The sequence below is a fragment of the Homo sapiens genome, chromosome 13, assembly GCF_000001405.40.
Source record: "Homo sapiens chromosome 13, GRCh38.p14 Primary Assembly".
Lineage (NCBI taxonomy): Eukaryota > Metazoa > Chordata > Mammalia > Primates > Hominidae > Homo > Homo sapiens.
This window is the reverse complement of record NC_000013.11, coordinates 110927287-110945455: the sequence shown is the minus strand read 5'-3', so window position 1 is coordinate 110945455 and position 18169 is coordinate 110927287. Positions and strand designations below refer to the sequence as shown.

Below are 18169 nucleotides of genomic sequence, written 5' to 3'. Positions count from 1 at the left end.
CGGCAGAGCCTGCACTCTCCACTCACTCCCACCCTTGGGGCAGACGCCGAATTATGGAACATTCTGTATAAAGGAAAACTGTCTTATTCTAAGGATGACAAACAAAATAAACATATTTAAATATTAAGTTAGAGGCAACATGGTTTTTTTCCTTAATAAAAAGAGATGAAAACCTAATTAACTCTGGAAAATAACAGCATTCGAAGCTTGCTATTGTCTGATAGCATAAGCTTTGAAGAAACATAACCTCAGAGCCTGCGTATTTGTCAGCGTTCTCTAGGGAAACTAATAGGATGTGCGTGTATGTGTGCGTGTGCATGTGTGTGTGCGTGTGCATGTGTGTGTGCGTGTGTGTGGATGTGTGTGCGTGAGTGTATGTGTGGTGTGTGTGTGCATGTGTATTTGTGTGTGTGAATATATGCGTGTGTGTATGTGCGTGTGTGTGAGATATTTATAATATGGAATTGGCTCATGTGATTATGGAGGCTGACAAGTCCCAAGACCTGCAGAGTCTACAAGCTGGAGACTCAGGAAGAGCTAATGTTTCAGTTCCAGTCTTAAGGCAGGAAACAGCCCATGTCCCAGCTGCAGGCAGGCAGGAGGAGTTCCGTGTATTCAGAGCAGAGCCAGCCTCTGTCCTGTTCAGGCTTTCAGAGTTGGAGGACACCCACCACCCATCTAGGGAGCCCCGTCTGCTACAATCAAGCTACACACTCAAATGCGAATCTCTCCCAAAACACCCTTACAGACACACCCAGGAGAATGTTTGACTGAATATCTCAGGATATCACAGGCACCCTGTGGCCCAGTCAAGTTGACACATAAGATTCACCATCACAGCCCGTGATGGATTATGTCTAAGAACAGAGTCTAGGAAAGTCTGCCCTCTCACCCTTTCCTACTGCAGCACATTGCAAAACACACATACACAGGTGCAGAATATGTGTGCACACAGAGAACACCACTGCCTCCTGGTGCTCAGCAAGGGCTCTTTGCGCTTTTGTGGTGTGGAGAGGGAACAGCATTACCAAAGTGTCTGGGTTGAGTGTCACAGAAAGCCAGGGCTCATATTCTGCCTCTGTGTAGTCAGGCTAGTCACGACCAGGGGCCAAACTCAAAGGTTGTTAACAGTATTTTGAATGTCAGCCCTGAAGGAAACCAAAGTCTCTACAGAGGAAAACAAAACAAAACAAAACAAAAAACAAAACGCTTTCCAATTCCCAGGAAATGACTCACTTTCAAGAAATTTTCAATGCATTGAAATTCCAGTTTATCAAAAGGGAAAAAGTTATGGTGAAGAGAGAATGGAAGGTCGTTGGGGAGCTGGCAAAGACTTGTAGAGATAAACCCTGTCATCAGTATTTCACCTGCAAAGGACTCGACTCACCAACATTCTCTGGGAAACAAGAACCTTTCTTTCAGCAACTGTCAGCTTGTTGCAAGTTTTTGTATGCAAACTGGTTCTGGCTGTAGACAAGCTGTACCTACCTCTGTTCAACACATTGATATGATCAGGCTGGGGGGTGTTATTTACATTAAAGTGTGTGATTTTTCCCATTTCTCCAGAAAGGCAGGAGAAGTTCATGATCGTATCTTAGAACATCTCTAGATAGAGAACTTTTGTTCCCTAGGGACAGTCTTAGCAATGGATTGGTGTTCTTTCCAAAACACCATTCCAAAGGCGGTTAGAAATGGAATCAAATGATGCCATTTTATTTGTAATTCCAGCTGTGCTCTCTTCTGAAAAGACAAAAATGTCCCATCACCTCTTTCCATGATGTCCTGCTACTGACTTACTCAGTAACTAGTGAGTCACTAGTCGCTGCCTCAGTTTTCTCATCTGGACACAAGGGGTTGCATGAAAGGCCTGGAAGGGCTATTCCAGTAAAAACAGTCTCTGATTCGAATCCCTCAGTCCTTTGTTTGCCCTTCCAGTAAGTCGGTAGCAGGGCAGGATGCAAATATTTCTGATGCCCAACACTATCCTATTTCTACTAAACCATTCCATAATTGTTTATCAATAAATGGATCAACAAATGGATATTTCACTGTTTATTTAGTTATTTATTTATTTATTTTTGAGACGGAGTCTTGCTCTGTCACCCAGGCTGGAGTGCAGTGGTGTGATCTCGGCTCACTGCAACCTCTGCCTCCCAGCTTCAAGCGATTCTCCTGCCTCAGCCTCCCAAGTAGCTGGGACTATACAGGTACCCGCCACCACGCCCAGCTAATTTCTGTATTTTTAGTAGAGACAGGTTTTTGCCATGTTGGCCAGGCTGGTCTCGAACTCCTGACCTCAGGTGATCCACCCACCTTGGCCTCCCAAAGTGCTGGGATTACAGGCATGAGCCACCACATCTGGACTTCATTTTTGTTGTTGTTCTTTTTTTAATTTTTAGTTTTTCCTCAGCTCTCCCCTCAACAACTGGATATTTCAAAAAGTGACTATTTCAATGTGAATTATTTTCTTTGTCTTTTGGCTTTATACTTGACTTCCAAGAAACATTTTTTGTGATTGATGAATTGTTCCCATGCACATTACATCACTGAATCCTCACAAAAGTGCTGTTAGATAGACATCACCTCCACTTTATATGAGGAAGACTGAGGACTCAGAGATAACCAACAACTTACTCACCGTCACACCATCATGTGGCCAGTGGTCAGTGGGGATCAACATTCCAGCCCAGGCCTTCCAATCCAGAAGCCACAATCTCCCCACTAAATTTCTTAAAATCATGACCGCATCATTGTTTGCCAATCAGGATATTTTGATGGAATCAATTTTCCCCCAGGGAATGCTCTGACACCATACTGACCCCAGATAAGACTGTATTAGTCCGTTTTCATGCTGCTGATAAAGACATACCTGAGAGTGGATAGTTTATAGAGAAAAAGAGGTTTAATGGACTCACAGCTCCATGTGGCTGGGGAGGCCTCAAATCATGGCAGAAAGTGAAAGGCATGTCCTACCTGGCTGCAGACAAGAGAGAATGAGAGAATGAGTGAAAGGGAAAACCCCTTATGAAGTCATCAAATCTCATGAGACTTATTCACTACCCTGAGAGCAGTGTGGGGGAAACTGCCCCCGTGATTCAATTATCTCCCACCAGGTCCCTCCCACAACACATAGGAATTATGAGAGCTACAAATTCAAGATAAGATTTGGGTGGGGAAACAGCCAAGCCATATAAAAGACAAAATATACAAATTCTCTTTCATTATCTCGCTATAGGTTGAACAAGTGTGCTTGACCTTTTCCTTTCCTGTTCTACCCCTAAATCTTATAACATCTCTCATTACAGTAATTTTCAAAACTAAAACTTTAATAATTTAATATTTTGGTCACATAAAAATGTTTCCAATCTAAGTGACAGTATCAAAAAACAGCTGAATCAACATGTTGGGTCCTTGGCAGCCAAATTTTCATCCTCACCCAGTGGCAATGAGGGAGCAATGCTAGTGGCAATGCCAGTCACAGCCAAATTCTGCCCCACCTCCTTCCCATACTGGCAGGGCCCAGCAGGGAACTGAACATCCACCCCCACCCATGCCTACATGCAATGCATAAACAGGTAAGTGCCTGTCCAAAAAGACTGAAGAGGACCCACAGTCTTACAACATGATGCTGAAAATGTTCGGGGCATGATTTCAAAACTGCTGAATATACCAGGAACTAGGATGATTGCAACTTGAATAAGAAAAGACAATAAACAGATGCTGTAGTGGGTTGAAACAGTGGCCCACAAAAAGATAAGCTATGTCCACCTTTTGGAACCTACAAATACAGCCTTACTAGGAAGTAAGATCTTCATAGATGTAATTAAGTTGAGGCTTTTGAGATTTGATAACCCTGGGTTCCAAATTCGCCAACACATGTCCCCATAAGAGGAAGGCAAAAGGAGATTTGAGTCAGAGAAAAGGAGAAGGCCATATGAAGATGGAGGCAGAGACTGGACCTATGCAGCCCCAAGTCCAGGAATGCTGTCAGTCACCAGAAGGAAAAAGCAATGAATGCAATCTTCCATGGAAGACCCTCTGGAGAGAGTATAGCCCTGCTGACACCTTGATCTGTCTTCTGGCCTCCAAAACTGTGAGAGAATAAATTTATGTTGTTTTAGGCCACACAGTTTGTGTTGCTTTGTTATGGCAGCCCTAGGGAACCAATACAGATGTGAACACTGAGATGATATCTGACATGATTTTAAAGCAACAATTCTAAAAATACTTCCATAAGCAATTATAAACCCTCTTGAGACAGAATTGAGAAGCTTGGAGATAAAAGCAACAGGTTGCCTCTTTCCCGCCCACCCCCTCCACCCCACCAGGTTTGAATGAGCACCCCAAGGGCCTGGTCTGTTACAGACAGATGAAACGTTTTATTTAAAGATAGGAGGGCCAGGACTGGGGCTGTGTGAGGGCTTGCTTTAAATCCTCCACTGCCTTAATTTCTTCTGGGGACCTTTGCAAGGGGTTGGGTTCCCTTTTTAGTAACTTAAAATACAGAATCTTTGTCCTTTGAACATATGAGTCCATCCATAACCTACAGTAGCCAGTTAAACCTAAAAAGTTTTGGAGTTCTCTCTTTGTCTTAGGCAAGGGCAGACCCACTATTCCCGATATTCTCTCTGCGTTTATTCTCTGCTTTCCTTCACTAATTAGGTGTCCTAAATATTTAACTTCTCCTACAAATTGCGATTTGGTTTTGGAGACTCGCAACCCCTTTTCCCCTAGGAAATTAAGTAAGCTTATGGTGGCTTCTGATACCTCGGCCCTCCTTTCCCCAGAAATTAGAAGATCATCCACATATTGTAACAGCTGGGTTTCTTTGGATGGTTGGAATTCCTCCAGAACTTTTTCTAAGACTTGACCAAGTAAGTTTGGGGCTTCCGTGAAAACTTGTGGCAGCACAGTCCAGTGATACCTCTGCTTTCTCCCAGTTATGAGGTTTTTCATTCAAAGGCAAAGAGGTCCCTACTCTTAGAGTCTAGGGGACATGGCCAGAATGCATCTTTCAGATCCACTATGCTGAACCACTTATGTTTATAGAGTATTTTATTAAGGTGGGTGTAGGGGTTAGGCACCACAAGATGTCAAGTTTGGACAATTTTATGTATAGACCTTAGATTTTGCACTAATCTGTATGACCCATCTGGTTTCTTTACTGGGAGAACTGGAGTATTGTATGGTGACATACAGGGTTTCAATAACCCATCTTTTTTTTAGTATGAAATCAATTTTTATTTTTAACTAAAAATAAATGCTTAACATCTTTCCAAAATCAAAACTAAAGACAAACAAACAAAAAAAAAGGGTGGAAACATATTTTTTCTTCCCTGGGGAAACCACTAAGGCAGATATTGTAGCACAGCTTGGTTTTTTCCAGAGGACTAATCCATGCAAACAGAATCTCTCTCCAGCTTGTCAGTTTTATCTACCTGGCAAGAAAAAACAAAAACAACCCCTCCCCACAAACACAACACAAAACAAGAGACTAAAAAATTTGGGAAAAAGCTTTTAATGCATTTCTGCAAAATCCTTTCTGAGGAGGTTTAGTACAGGTACTACCCACCAGCAACTTAGCCAGCCAGGTGAGTTGGTGCAGAAGCGCTTAGGGTGAATTAATACCAGAGTCACCGTGTGTGACTCAGCCACCTCTCCCAATTACCACAAGGAGGTCTTAAAATTGAATTTCAGTTTCAGCAGATATTTCAGATTTACCTGAGCAATATCATAGACAATGTACTCATTATACAGTAGACAGGTGTCATTCACACCAGATGAAACCCTGGTCCCAAGAGGAACCTCTACACCATCCAGTGGGATACTAGCTGAAAGGTCAGGAGTAGTTTTGCCCAAACCTTTGACACTGTGCTTGCCCTTGGGTAACTTGCTGATATGTGAAGCATGCTTCAGTTCACACACGTTTCCAAGGGCAACTTCTTCCGACAGGATTAACCCTATTGGGTCTTCCTAAGATGTATGGCAGTCGTTGGCACTCTTGGAGACAAGATCAGCGAAATAGATCACTTTACCAAACATGTAGCCCATCACAGGTGCTTCAGGCAGGGCTATCCAAAGACCCAGGGACAGGATCCCAGCAAAGTTGGTGGTCCTGGACCCATGCCACAGCAACCTTCAGTTATGAAGCTGCTTAAAGGGCTTGTAGTGCTGGCACTCCTCTTCACACTCTATCTTAAAGCTATCAATGACTTCCAAGTCATATGCATCGTGTGTGGTTGGTTGCATGAGTGTTCTTAACATACTTCCTGATGATCTCAGCTTCTTCAGAATCTCTGTCAACCACCTTAATGTCAGTTTTGAGCTTCTCATAGTTGACATCGATGGAGTCCTTCCTGCTATCGTGAGACCCTCCCCTGAGCAGACCGTAGGCTACCTCAATGTCCAGCAGGTTGTCCAGCATTTCTACCTTGGCCTGCACACTGTCTGCATTGTTCAGGAGCAGAGGATCCTTCATCCCAAAGTCGTGGGGGATCAGGATGTAAAAGCGATTTGAGAAATCCAGGATCTGAGAGTCGCTGCTGCCCTGGGACACCACCTGCTGGACCTGAGGATGGAGTACGCGGCCTGGATTTGCCTTTTGCTCAGCTTCCCCAAGGGCATCTGAAGGTCGATCTCACACCCCACCATGGCTTTGCTCATACTTTCCACATCAAAGATCATCTTGATGAGGTCCTGAACTGGCTTGGGGAGCATGGACTTGGTGCCAGGATTTACTGTCGGCTTCTTCACCGCCTCTTTGTCCTGGCCGTAGTCAATCTCCAGGGGGTAGAACTTTTTGGGATACTTTGTGAATTTTTGGAGTGCCAAGCATTCCTAGTTTTTCTTCATATAATTTCATGAAGTGTTCAGTGGTGTCCTCCTTGGACAGCATCTGTTCCAGTTTGTTGCTACCGATCACCGTGCCCACACGGTCCCAGGACTTGAATATCCAATGCCTGCTTTCCTTGTCATCCTTCAGCAACTTCAGCTTGTAATAGGAGTTGGTTCCTTTAACGACGTCCACCAGGCTGAGGGTGGCACTGAAGACCTTCCCACCTTTCTCCAGAACATGTGCAGAGTGTTCCAGACCAGAGTCAGGATCCACAGCTGCTCCTCCTTTAAGAGTTAATTTCATTCTCTTTTCAGATTTGTTGATACCTTCCTCCTTGACCTGGCCCTTGCTTTTTTTGGAGAGCACAGCTCCTGACTTCCCTCTTGGGGCTACGACTTCAACAGGCTCTGCCTTCACTTCTGCCCCCCAGGGGGACAAGATGTGCGCTGAGAACAACTCCTGGAGCCCCTTGGTGGAGGCAGAGAAGTCCTGGAGGAAGTCCTCAGACACAGCTCAGATGTTGGCTTCTTTCACTTCCTCCATCTTCTTCTTCTTCTTTTCCACCTCCTCTTTAGTGCTGATGCACGGAGAAGCCTTGTTGGCCGTCCCCATCAACTTTCCCCCGAGTTTCTCAATCGTGGCCTTCACTTCATCCTTGTTCCGGGAGAGCTTCCCAAGAGTAAGGATCTTCATGTTGGATAACGGCTTATCTGCTGGAGCAGAGGCGTTCATGGCAGCAGGCTCGGAGGCTGTGGAGGGTGGGGGCATGGCCGCCACTGGGTCACTGGTTTCTGGGGGGAATATACGGTCCTGCTTTTTAACCTTAAATTTCTTGAGTTAAGAGATTTCTCGGTGGGATCACCTATTCCTTCTGGTTGGGTGTCCATGTCTTGACCATACACTTGGTCCAGGCCGTGACGTCCCCGGTGCAGTAATAAGTGTCGCTCTTGAAGACCAGCTGACCTGAGCATTCCTCACAGGGAAGGAGGGCACCGAACGTCATGCTGTCAGCTACTCGGTCCAAGATCGCCGACTCCCCGGAAGGCACCTGCTGCCTGTTGAAGATGAGCATCTCCTTCAGGTCATTAATAGAGCACACTTTCATTAGCTCGTCCTTGATGTTCCAGATCAGGTCGTTCTGGGCCTTTAGGGCCTTTTCAAGCTTACCATCCTCGTCTTTTTCTTTTTTAGATTTCTTCTTGGCCACTTCATCCACTCCATCCACCTCATCGCCTTCTCTCTTTCCTTCACTCTTGACTCCTGGGAGCTGCTTCTTCAGGGTTTCTTTATCCTCTGCAGCGAGGAGGCTGAAGCCCTTGAGCTGACTCGCACTGTACTCAGGCTGGAAACCCAGCTCCTCCCTGTTCTTGACAAAGCAGCCTGGGTGGTACCAGGGGTCAATCATGCCTAGCTGAGGCTTCTCAGGGTCCAGCATCTTCTTGGATAGGCGCATCTGGCCCTTTTCTATCTTCTCCATAACACCTCTTGCACTTGCTTCTGCTGGACTTGGCCTACTCTGCTGCAAAGTCACCCAGCGTCTTCTCTGCCTTGCTACCAATTCCATTCTGGCCTTTGCCCGTCACTCCTCCAGCGTCAGCTGTCTTCTTGACTTTCTGCTGGTCATCCCACCAAAGCTCAGAGAATCCATCCACCTCAACGTCAGGGTGCCGCATGGAGTGGCCCACCTTCCGCAAGCAGGAGAAGTGGTACCAGTGTGGGACTTCTCCATCAAACATGGACTATTGCACCATGATGGCCATCCGCAGCGAGTCCTTGGGGATGCTCTCGCTGCATTTCTTGCAAGAGGTGCGCCCGCTCTTGGTGTACTCCACTCAGTAGAGCTTATCCGAGGACTCTGCCATCCTCCCACAGTTGCCGCCAAATCCCAGGAGCCCGACGCGACGACCTGGAGACACGCGCTTCCGCCGCCTGCGCCTGGAGCTTCCGCCTTGCCGCCCCGCCCACACTCACCTGGCCGCAGGCTCCCGAGTACCCAGCTCAATAGTTCGTCTTTAATTTGTCCTTCTATTACCGGTTGGAGACCTTTCCTCCCTTCATGGGTATGGGATATTGTCTCCTGTAAACTCTTTCTCCTGGATGTTTTCATTCGGTCTGTAAGGGTGTGATTTTTTAATCCTCCCGTTGCCTTCCTTAACCCACAAAAGGGAGTTAATCTTATCTTCTTCCTCCTCTGTTAGGAGAACCATCATTAGTTTTATTTGTCCCTCCTCTACTCCTAATCCTAAAGCTAAATCTAATCTACAATCAGGTCTCAACCCAGGAGGTTAGTTCCTGCTTTGGGAACATGTAAGAGTGACTCCTTAATTGGTTCTGATTCCTGCCTAATTAACATTTTCTTGAATATTGGAACTTGAAATCCCTCCCCTTTTACTCTGATACTGTTAACTTTTCCTTAGAGGGTATGTGCCCCTTGGTGGGTATATTAAGGAAGAGCAAGCCACTCCAGTGTCGACCAAAAATGTCATTTTTTCCCCTTCGGGTCCCACTCTCAAGTTTATGAAGGGTTCCTTGTGGGACCTGGTTAGAAGGAACCCCTGATTCCCAGTCCTCATTAAAACTCATAATGGGGATTACCTTTTCTTCCTTTTTCCATTCCGGACGTTCTTTCTTAAAATGCCCTGGTTTCAGCTGGGTGCGGTGGCTCACGCCTGTAATCCCAGCACTTTGGGAGACCGAGGCAGGTGGATCACGAGGTCAGGAGATCGAGACCATCCTGGCTAACACGGTGAAACCCCGTCTCTACTAAAAAATACAAAAAAATTAGGCGGGCGTGGTGGCGGGTGACTGTAGTCCCAGCTACTCGGGAGGCTAAGGCAGAAGAATGGCATGAACCCAGGAGGCGGAGCTTGCAGTGAGCAGAGTTCGCTCCACTGCACTCCAGCCTGGGCAACAGAGCAAGATTCCATCTCAAAATAAAAAAAAAAAAATGTCCTGGTTTCCCACATTTGCAACATCCACTTACAGTCTTGGGAGTTTTTCCTTGTATTTGCCTCCAGTCTCTTTGCTGAGACCTAGTATTATCTTGTCCCCTCTGAGAGGGGTCTTGATCTAATCTCTTTCTGATTACTTCCTCTACAGTGGAAAACATGATTTTTGAATTCTGTTTTGCTTCTCTTCCTCTCTTCCTCTCTTCTTACAAAGACCTTCTGAGCTTCCCTCAGTAATTCCTCAATCGGTTTCTCATTCCATCCATCAATGTTTTGTAGTTTCTTAGTAATATCAGGCCAGCTTTTAGTTACAAAATTAACCTTTAAAACGCCTTGCCCTACTGGGTCCTCTGGATCTATTTCCTGAGTATTTTTTCATTTGATCCCAGGGCCTCTGCAGAAATGCAGAGGCAGTCTCCTCTTTTTCTTGTTGAATCTCAAATGCTTTCAAGACATTTTGTGTCCCAGGAACGGAGTCTTTAATCCCCCTGATTAGTTCCCTAAGGCCTTGCATTTGGGCCTGATGCCTGGGGTCATTGTTATCCCATTCAGGATTCGCATTTGGGGATTTCCACTCAGCCAGTAGGACTCCTTGCCCAGGAGGATGCTGTCTCACCCAAATGATCATGGCTGCCCTTCTAATTATTGCCCTCTTTTCTTCAGTAAACAGGATATTCATGATAAACATTATCTTAGCCCAAGTATAAAAATTGGGTCCTAAAAATTGATTTAGCTGTTCTGCTAAACCAAGGGGATCTTCTAAAAGTGGCCTCATTTCCTTTTTAAAATTCCTAACCTCAGTACTTGTTAAAGGCACACTCATAAATCCAACTTCTCCCAGTCCCACAGGGCCTTCTTTAAGAGGAATCATGTTGGACATCTCCTGTTTAGAGTGAATAGGGAAATTCTTAATGTTCTTCTTACATTGCTTTAATTCTTTCCTTAAGTTCAGATAAGGATTTAAGGGAGCAGTGGGTTTAGTTTCCTCATGGCCCCCAGATTTCTCTTCCTCCAGCCTTCCTGCTGTCCCCTGATCTCCCTGTTCCTTATTTTGTGAGATGTATGGTGGGGGAAGAGGGGGGTACGCAAGTGTGTTAGGGCATCCCAGGGCTTTTTATCAGGTGAGGGCTCTTTACTATGCTCTTTTTCTTTTTCTTTGAGGAGGAACATGGGGGCTAATTCCCTGACCCAAAAGAGAGCATAACCCATCTTTTCTTGTGAGGATGAGGTTTTATTATTCATATGTGGAATTAAAGTTTGGCACACCCAATCCTCATCCGAGCCAAACTTAGGCCAAAAGACCAAAGGCTTACAAATGGGATATTTGGGCCCAATAAGACAGCAATCTTTATCATCTTTTGCTTTTCCTTGTCCCTGGTTTGAGGGTTGTCCCTCCAAACCTGCAGCATTCTCCCCAACAGACTATCCGTGGGAATGTCAGAGGGAGTCTCCTTAGTTCTCTGTTTCCTTTGTTCGCTAGGCCTAGAATTTTCAGTTCGTCTCTTTGTCTGTGCTTTCCCTTGGTATGCAGCCCCTGCTACAAGAGCTTTCTTGCACACGCTGAGAATGGCTTCCTCCATCTCTGGCTGTTTCCCTTGTGGGAGAACAGAACCACAGATTGGGACTCCACACTTGCCTTGTATCTAAGACACATCTCAGTCACACACACTTGACCTCCAAAAATGCCCCACCACCCAGGCAATACTTACAGTCCAATTTTCCGACCTTGGCTAGTGCAAAAGGTTGCCTGGTTTCTGCAGTGCCTGCTTTTGACCCTGTGTCGTCTCCACTGCCTCCTGAATAACAGTCTTGGGTTTGTCTACGACTTCTGCAGGAGCTGCTATGCCCAGACAGAGTGGGCCACCTAAAGTGGGTGGGACGCATCTCCCGTCTAGGCTGGAGTCCCACTCCATGCAGGCACAGATATCCCGGATGAGCCCCCAAGTTGTGAAAAACAAACTCACCCCTTCAAACCTAAAGAAGGGACTCAGAGACACAGAGAGCAGCAGAAGCGAGACTTTTAGTGACAGTCTTGCAAGATCGGGGGCCTGGTGGACAGGCACACTCAACACGGTTACCATAAGCAATTTATCCCCTAGTGCACGGGTCCCTCCCCTGATTCCTCATAAGATGAGTACTATGGGGTCACAATCTTCCCAGACATTGCCTATTGGTCATTGAATAGGGGCTTTTAGGTATATTTTTAGGGTCACCTCACTGCATTCTGTTGCAGTCCACAATGTGTTGCAGTTATAGTTAGCTCAGGGGCTTTTTAAATATTTGACCTATGACCTAGGTAGGCAAGTTGATGAGAATAGATAAAGCAAGCTATTTTGGAGGCTAGTAAACTTTTTTTCTAGACTAAACTTCTTTGGTTTGGGTGAGGGCAACTAAGGGGCCCCAACAAGCAGGTGCTGGCTATCAAAGTAGGGGCCTCATGTAGTCTGTTCTTTGGTGGTTTGCAGACCCAAGCCTATTCGAGGTACTTTGTCTCGGAAATGGACCACCACATACGTTATTTCCTTCAATACCTATTAAGACAGCTAAATTAAAACACAGTGATAACACCAAATGCTGGTGAGGAGGCAGAGAAGCTGGACCTCTCATGCATTGCTAGTAGGAATGTAAAATGGCACAGACACTTTGGGAAATTATTTGGCCATGTCTTATAAAATGAAGCACAAAAATACCATACAACCCAGCAGTCACACTCTTAGGCATTTATCTCAGAGAAATAAAAACTTATATTCACGCCAAAATCTGTACACAGATATTCAGAGTGCTTTTATTCATAATTGTAACAACCTAGAAATAACCCCAAAATGTTCAACTTTGGTATATCCAAACAATGAAATACTACTCACCAGTGAAAAAGGAACAATCCGTGATACGAACAATCTGGGTAGATCTCAAAGGCAATTGTGTTCAGTAAAAAAATCATAGGGGCATTACTCTCAGTGGAAAAAGCTCACCTCAAAAGGTTACATACTGTGTGATTTCTACAACATTCTCAAAATGACAAACCAAGAGAGATGGAAAACATTGTAGGTGCCAGGAGCCAGGGACTGGGAGTTGGGGGTGCAAATATAAAGGGGTATTGTAGCCTGCACAACATGGTGAAACTCCATCTCTACAAAAAAATGCAAAAAAAATTAGCCAGGTGTGGTGGTGCATGCCTACAGTCCCAGCTACTTGGAGGGCTGGGAGGTGGGAGGATTGCTTGAGCCCAGAAGGTCGAGGCTGCAGTGAGCAGTGAGCCAAGATCTTGCAACTGCACTCCAGCCTGGGCAACAGAGGGAGGCCCTGCCTCCAAAAAAGAACCTGGGAGGCGGAGGTTGCAGTGAGCCGAGATTGCACTACTGCACTCCAGCCTGGGCAACAGAGCGAGACTCCATCAAAAAAAAACAAAACAAAACAAATAAAAAAAACAAAACCAACAACAACAAAAAAACCCTAAAAACTGAAAAAATAAATAAATAAAGGAGTCATGAAGGAACTCTTTGTGCTGGCTCAATAGTTCTGTAACTTGAATGTAGTGTTGGTCACATGAACCTGTACAAGGGGCAAAATTGCACAGGACACACACAAACATGCACACATGCATGCAAACGTGGTGCACATGGCATAGGGCTTATAATACTGTAGAAATGTCATTTTCCTGGCTTTCATATTGCACTACAGTTAGGTAAGATACCATCATTGGAGGAAGCTGAGCAGGAGGTACCCAGGACCCTATGTACTCTTTTCACAACTTCTGTGGAGCTAGAATTTATTTTATAAATTACTTCAAAGGTTTTAAAGATGTTAAGTCCAGTGTCCTCAGCAGTTATGAAGTGTGCACAAGTCCAGGGATTTTTCTGAATGCCCTAGGAGACATAATTACAGGCTTCAGAAGGCTTACAATCTAACTTTATGAACAAAAATAACTTTATGAATAAAAATATGTTTAATATTAGCTAGCAAAAACCACTGATAAATCAGTTTATAGGTAGCAAATACTGAAGATTTGCTGCTGAGCTGGAAGTGAGCCTTCCTTGTGTATCTAATCTGACGGGCACTCCATGGAGAAGGAAGAACCCCCGGAAGGTGTAGAAGGTGTGGCGGCTGAGCAAGGGAGATTGCCTCTGGGTGGCCATGGCTGCCACAGAAAGCCTTCGTCCCTGCTGTGAGTGGGACGGGAAGGAAGACATTTTGGAGCGACACTCCTCCCTTCTCCATAGTTTCAATCCTTTGAAATTGAATGAGAAATGTTCCTCATCTCCCAAAATCTTCTTGCCTCAAGAGTACAATTGTTCAATATTCATTTGAATATGCTTTCGTTTAACTAGTATTTGCATATTATTTTCCTCTTTCATTTTCAACGTTTTTGTGCCCTTATATTTAAGATATCCACCCTTATATTTAAGGTATATCTTTTGCAAACAACATATAGGAGGATTTTAGAAGTCTACTGCAACCATTGGTTTGCCTTTAACTGGAGTATTTACTCCACTCGATGAAATGTAACTGGGGATGTAGTTTGGCTTCTATCTGCTACCTCAGTATTTGTTCTCTATTTGTCCCATCTGTTCTATAGTCCTTTTCTCTCCTTTCTTGTCTTCTGTTGTATTTATTAGGTATTTTTGTTTTCCTTTTTCCTTCTATTAAATTATTAAACATTCTTTTAATGATGATAGCTATTATGACATAACTCTCTGCCTTACTAGAACCTACAATCCATCGGTACTTTTACGACTTCACGGACAATGCAAAGGCAATAGAATGTTTAACTCTCATGCACTTTTCTACGTTTTCCAACATTTTTCCTCTTTGGGCTATAATCTGGATATAGCAAAAGTGAACAAGGAATCCCTCCCTCCCACTAGAGGCCACCCAGTGCTGGTGTGACAGCCAGGGTGGGGGGCTGAGATTCAGCCCACAGAGTCTCTTTGGACAGATGCTCTTGTCCAGTGCCACGTATCCTGAGCAAGCACATGCAGCGGCCCAAGACCAGGAGCTCAGTGAGGACCGGGTAGTCTTGGCAGTGAGAAGACACTCCATCTTCCAAGGAATTCGTGAACGAGGAGAGAATGAAGGTGTAAGACTCTGGAGGTGGAGGAGACTCTGTGGTCTCCAGGGAGGCACCTGCTGCTCCTTTGTGTCCCCTCATCCCTGCAAAATGTAAGCAGATGCTCCCCTAGTTCCACATCAGGCAGAGTGGGTTTTAGGGTTTGAAGCTGCATCTGCATTTTGGTTTTGCAAATTAAAATACATCTGCATCACATATTCCATGTTGGCTTCTTTTTCACACATTCTATGTGGGCATAGTTTCTTGGGGAAGATGTTCAATACCTCAACATGTTCTTGGTGTCATTAATCCCCAACTACCACATAATTTTAGTTATTTCCTTTTTGCTTCTGGAAAAATACTTTTTAATTTCCATGAAATTAGGGATTTTTTAATTGCTATTTTTAAAATTTTATTATGGACACAGGTTGTGTAGTATTTGGGAGAAGGGGGGTTAGTGATGATTACTGAAATTTCCATTTTAGAACTGAAAAATAAAAGGGAATTTGCCAGACCATATTTCAAAACATATTACGAAACTACAGGGTATGAAACAGTATGGCACAAGAATAGACAGAATATCGATGGAATGGAGTAAAGTGTCCAGAAATTCTGAGAGTCCTGGTGTTTAGCATATGATGAGGATGTGAAAGATTTGGGAACAATGGGTAAATGACTGGGAAAACTCTGAGTTCAAACGTTAACACATACCACACAATAAAATAAATTGAGATGAGCTAAATATTTAAATATCAAGAATAAAAGCATGGAATGACTAAAAGGAAATATAAGGGAATTGTACCATTCTGAGTCTAGTAAGTAACTTAAACAGAACTTTAATATAAAGAATTATTAAGTGTGATTAGGGAGTAACTATAAAGACAGATTAGTAACTATAAAGACTGAAAAGACAGGCACACCAGGGCTGAGGGCAAGGGCCCCAAAAAGGAGAAATGTGGAAGGAGCCCTGTCCCCCAGGCCAGGGTCCAGAGTCACTGTCCAGGTTTGGCTGCCAACCATGGGGTTGTGAGGATGTTTTCTGGCCAGAGCTGCTCCCTAGCCGGGCACGGGACACAGCCTCCTGGGCCTGGGCAGTGGGTGGGCAGGTGAGGTCTGGGCACACAGGTCATGTGAGGAGACTCCTGGGCAGGGATCCCAGGGTCAGGCAGCTGAGGGGCTGCACCCTCTGAGCAGGGGCTGTGGCAGAGCCCCCTGGAATGTCCCCACCTTCCTGCACCACAGAGAGACCCCTCAGTAGGAACAAAGAAGAGAACAGACACAGCACAGCTGGCCCAGGAGGGAAAAGTCCCTTCCTCTTGCCACATCCTCTAGCATCTTCCGGTGGGGACACTTAACACTGTGAGCCCACACAGTGGCCACCTGTGGTCCCAGCTACTTGGGAGGATGAGGCAGGAGGATGGCTTGAGCCCAGGGGCTCAAAGCTGCAGTGAGCTATGATCACACCACTGCACTCCAGCCTGGGCAACAGAGTGAGACCCTGTCTCAAAAAAAAAGAAAAATTAACATCGATAAGGAGAAATGCTTGAAAAGACAAGTCCATATGGCAGAGTAGAGATCAAGTTTGAAGGTAGGAGGCAGTAAATCAATAACTGGCAAAGAAATATTTTTATAATCAGGGTATGTCTCTCAATGTAACTCCAGCCACAGAAACTCAAAAGAGAACATAATGCCAATCTTGACTACCTGAAATAGAGACACTTTGCACAGTGAAGGGTGCTGCGAAAACAGGCAAGACAGCTCTGCAATACAACAGAGAGCTGCAACCCTTGAATAGAAAAAGACTCATAAATTAATAAAACACAAATAATCCCAACATGCCAAGGGCAGCTCAGAGCAGAAACACAAAGCACATGAAAACATAAAACACATAGAAATACATTGGTAGCAGCCTCATTGACAATTTTTAAAGTGCAAATTAACAGTGGCATATGGTGGGTGCTTAATAAATACTTGTTGAATGAATTATTTTTGCATAAAACTATGGGTAATACCCAATATTAGCCAGGGTGTGGGGAAACAGGTACTCTCAAACATTGTTGGTGCAAGTATAAATTAGCCAAAATTTTCTGGAAGGAAATCTGAAACTTTTCCAGGAAATGAGACCTGGAAAAGCCATTATAATGTGCATAAAACTGGCCCAGAGATTCCACCTCAGGAAATGAGACAAACAAGCAAAGAACCATACACAAATAAATTCACCTCAAAATTGTTTATCATTGCAAAAAGAGATGAATTCACCAATAAAGGAGGAGTAAATAAATTATGCTACAGGCACATATTGGGATATTGCACAGCTATTAAAAAGAATAGTAGAGATGTCTATTACCAGCCTGAAAAGCCTGAAATTTGTTAAGTAAATGACTCAGGTTACAGACAGTGTGTGTAATATGATTCCATTTTACTTGAAAAATCATGGGTATATTAATATATAAAGATACAGGTTGAGTACCCCACATCCAAAATGCTTAAGACCCGAAGTGTTTTGGATATGGAGTTTTTGGAATATTCGCCTTATGTATACTTACCGGTTGAGCATCCCATATCCAGAAATCCAAAGTCCAAAATTCTCCAATGAGCATTTCCTCTGAGTGTTATACTGGTGCTCAATGTTTTGAATTTTGGACTATTTCAGATTTCAGGTTTTTTGATTTGGCATGCTCAATCTGTATTTATATCTATGTGTGTGTGTGGAAATGTATACAACAAATGAAATTACCTCTAGGATAGAATTACAAGGGGCTTTCATCTCACTTTCTTTTTGTTTTCTTCAACTTTTATTTTGAGTTCAGGGGTACATGTGCAGGGTGTGCAGGTTTGTTACATAGTTAAATGTGTGCCATGGAGGTTTGCTGCACAGATCATCCCATCACCTAGGTATGAAGCCAGCATCCCTCAGCTATTCCTCCTGATGCTCTCCCTCCCTCGATCCCACCCCCAACACGCTCCAGTGTCTGTTGTTCCCCTTTGTGTCCATGTGTGCTCATCATTCAGCTCCCACTTATAAGTGAGAACATGTGGTGTTTGGTTTTCTGTTCCTGTGTTAGTTTGCTGAGAATAATGGCTTCCAACTCCATCCATGTCCCTTCAAAGGACATAATCTCATTCCTTTTTATGGCTGCATAGTATTCCATGGTGTATACGTGCCACATTTTCTTTATCCAGCCTATCACTGATTGATAGGCATTTAGGTTGATTCCATGTCTTTGCAATTGTGAATAGTGCTGTGATGAACATACGAGTACATGTGCCTTTATGGTAGAATGACTTCTATTTCTTTGGGTATACACCCAGTAATGGGATTGCTAGGTCAACTGGTAT

At 44.4% G+C, this 18169-nt stretch overlaps 1 pseudogene, besides 2 other annotated features; it reads right to left on the bottom strand.

Annotated features, from left to right (window-relative positions):
* Positions 2875-3124: an enhancer, noted in NCBI's record as "active region_8019". NCBI's record gives its function as "activates an Ori minimal core promoter by ATAC-STARR-seq in GM12878 lymphoblastoid cells {active_cell/tissue: GM12878}" and the evidence as "EXISTENCE:reporter gene assay evidence [ECO:0000049][PMID:35858748]".
* On the bottom strand, positions 5224-8832 carry PARP1P1 (poly(ADP-ribose) polymerase 1 pseudogene 1; annotated as a pseudogene).
* Positions 15457-15956: an enhancer, noted in NCBI's record as "H3K4me1 hESC enhancer chr13:111581847-111582346 (GRCh37/hg19 assembly coordinates)". NCBI's record gives its function as "activates a minimal SCP1, AML or CMV promoter by ChIP-STARR-seq in naive H9 embryonic stem cells {active_cell/tissue: H9 hESC(naive)}" and the evidence as "EXISTENCE:reporter gene assay evidence [ECO:0000049][PMID:30033119]".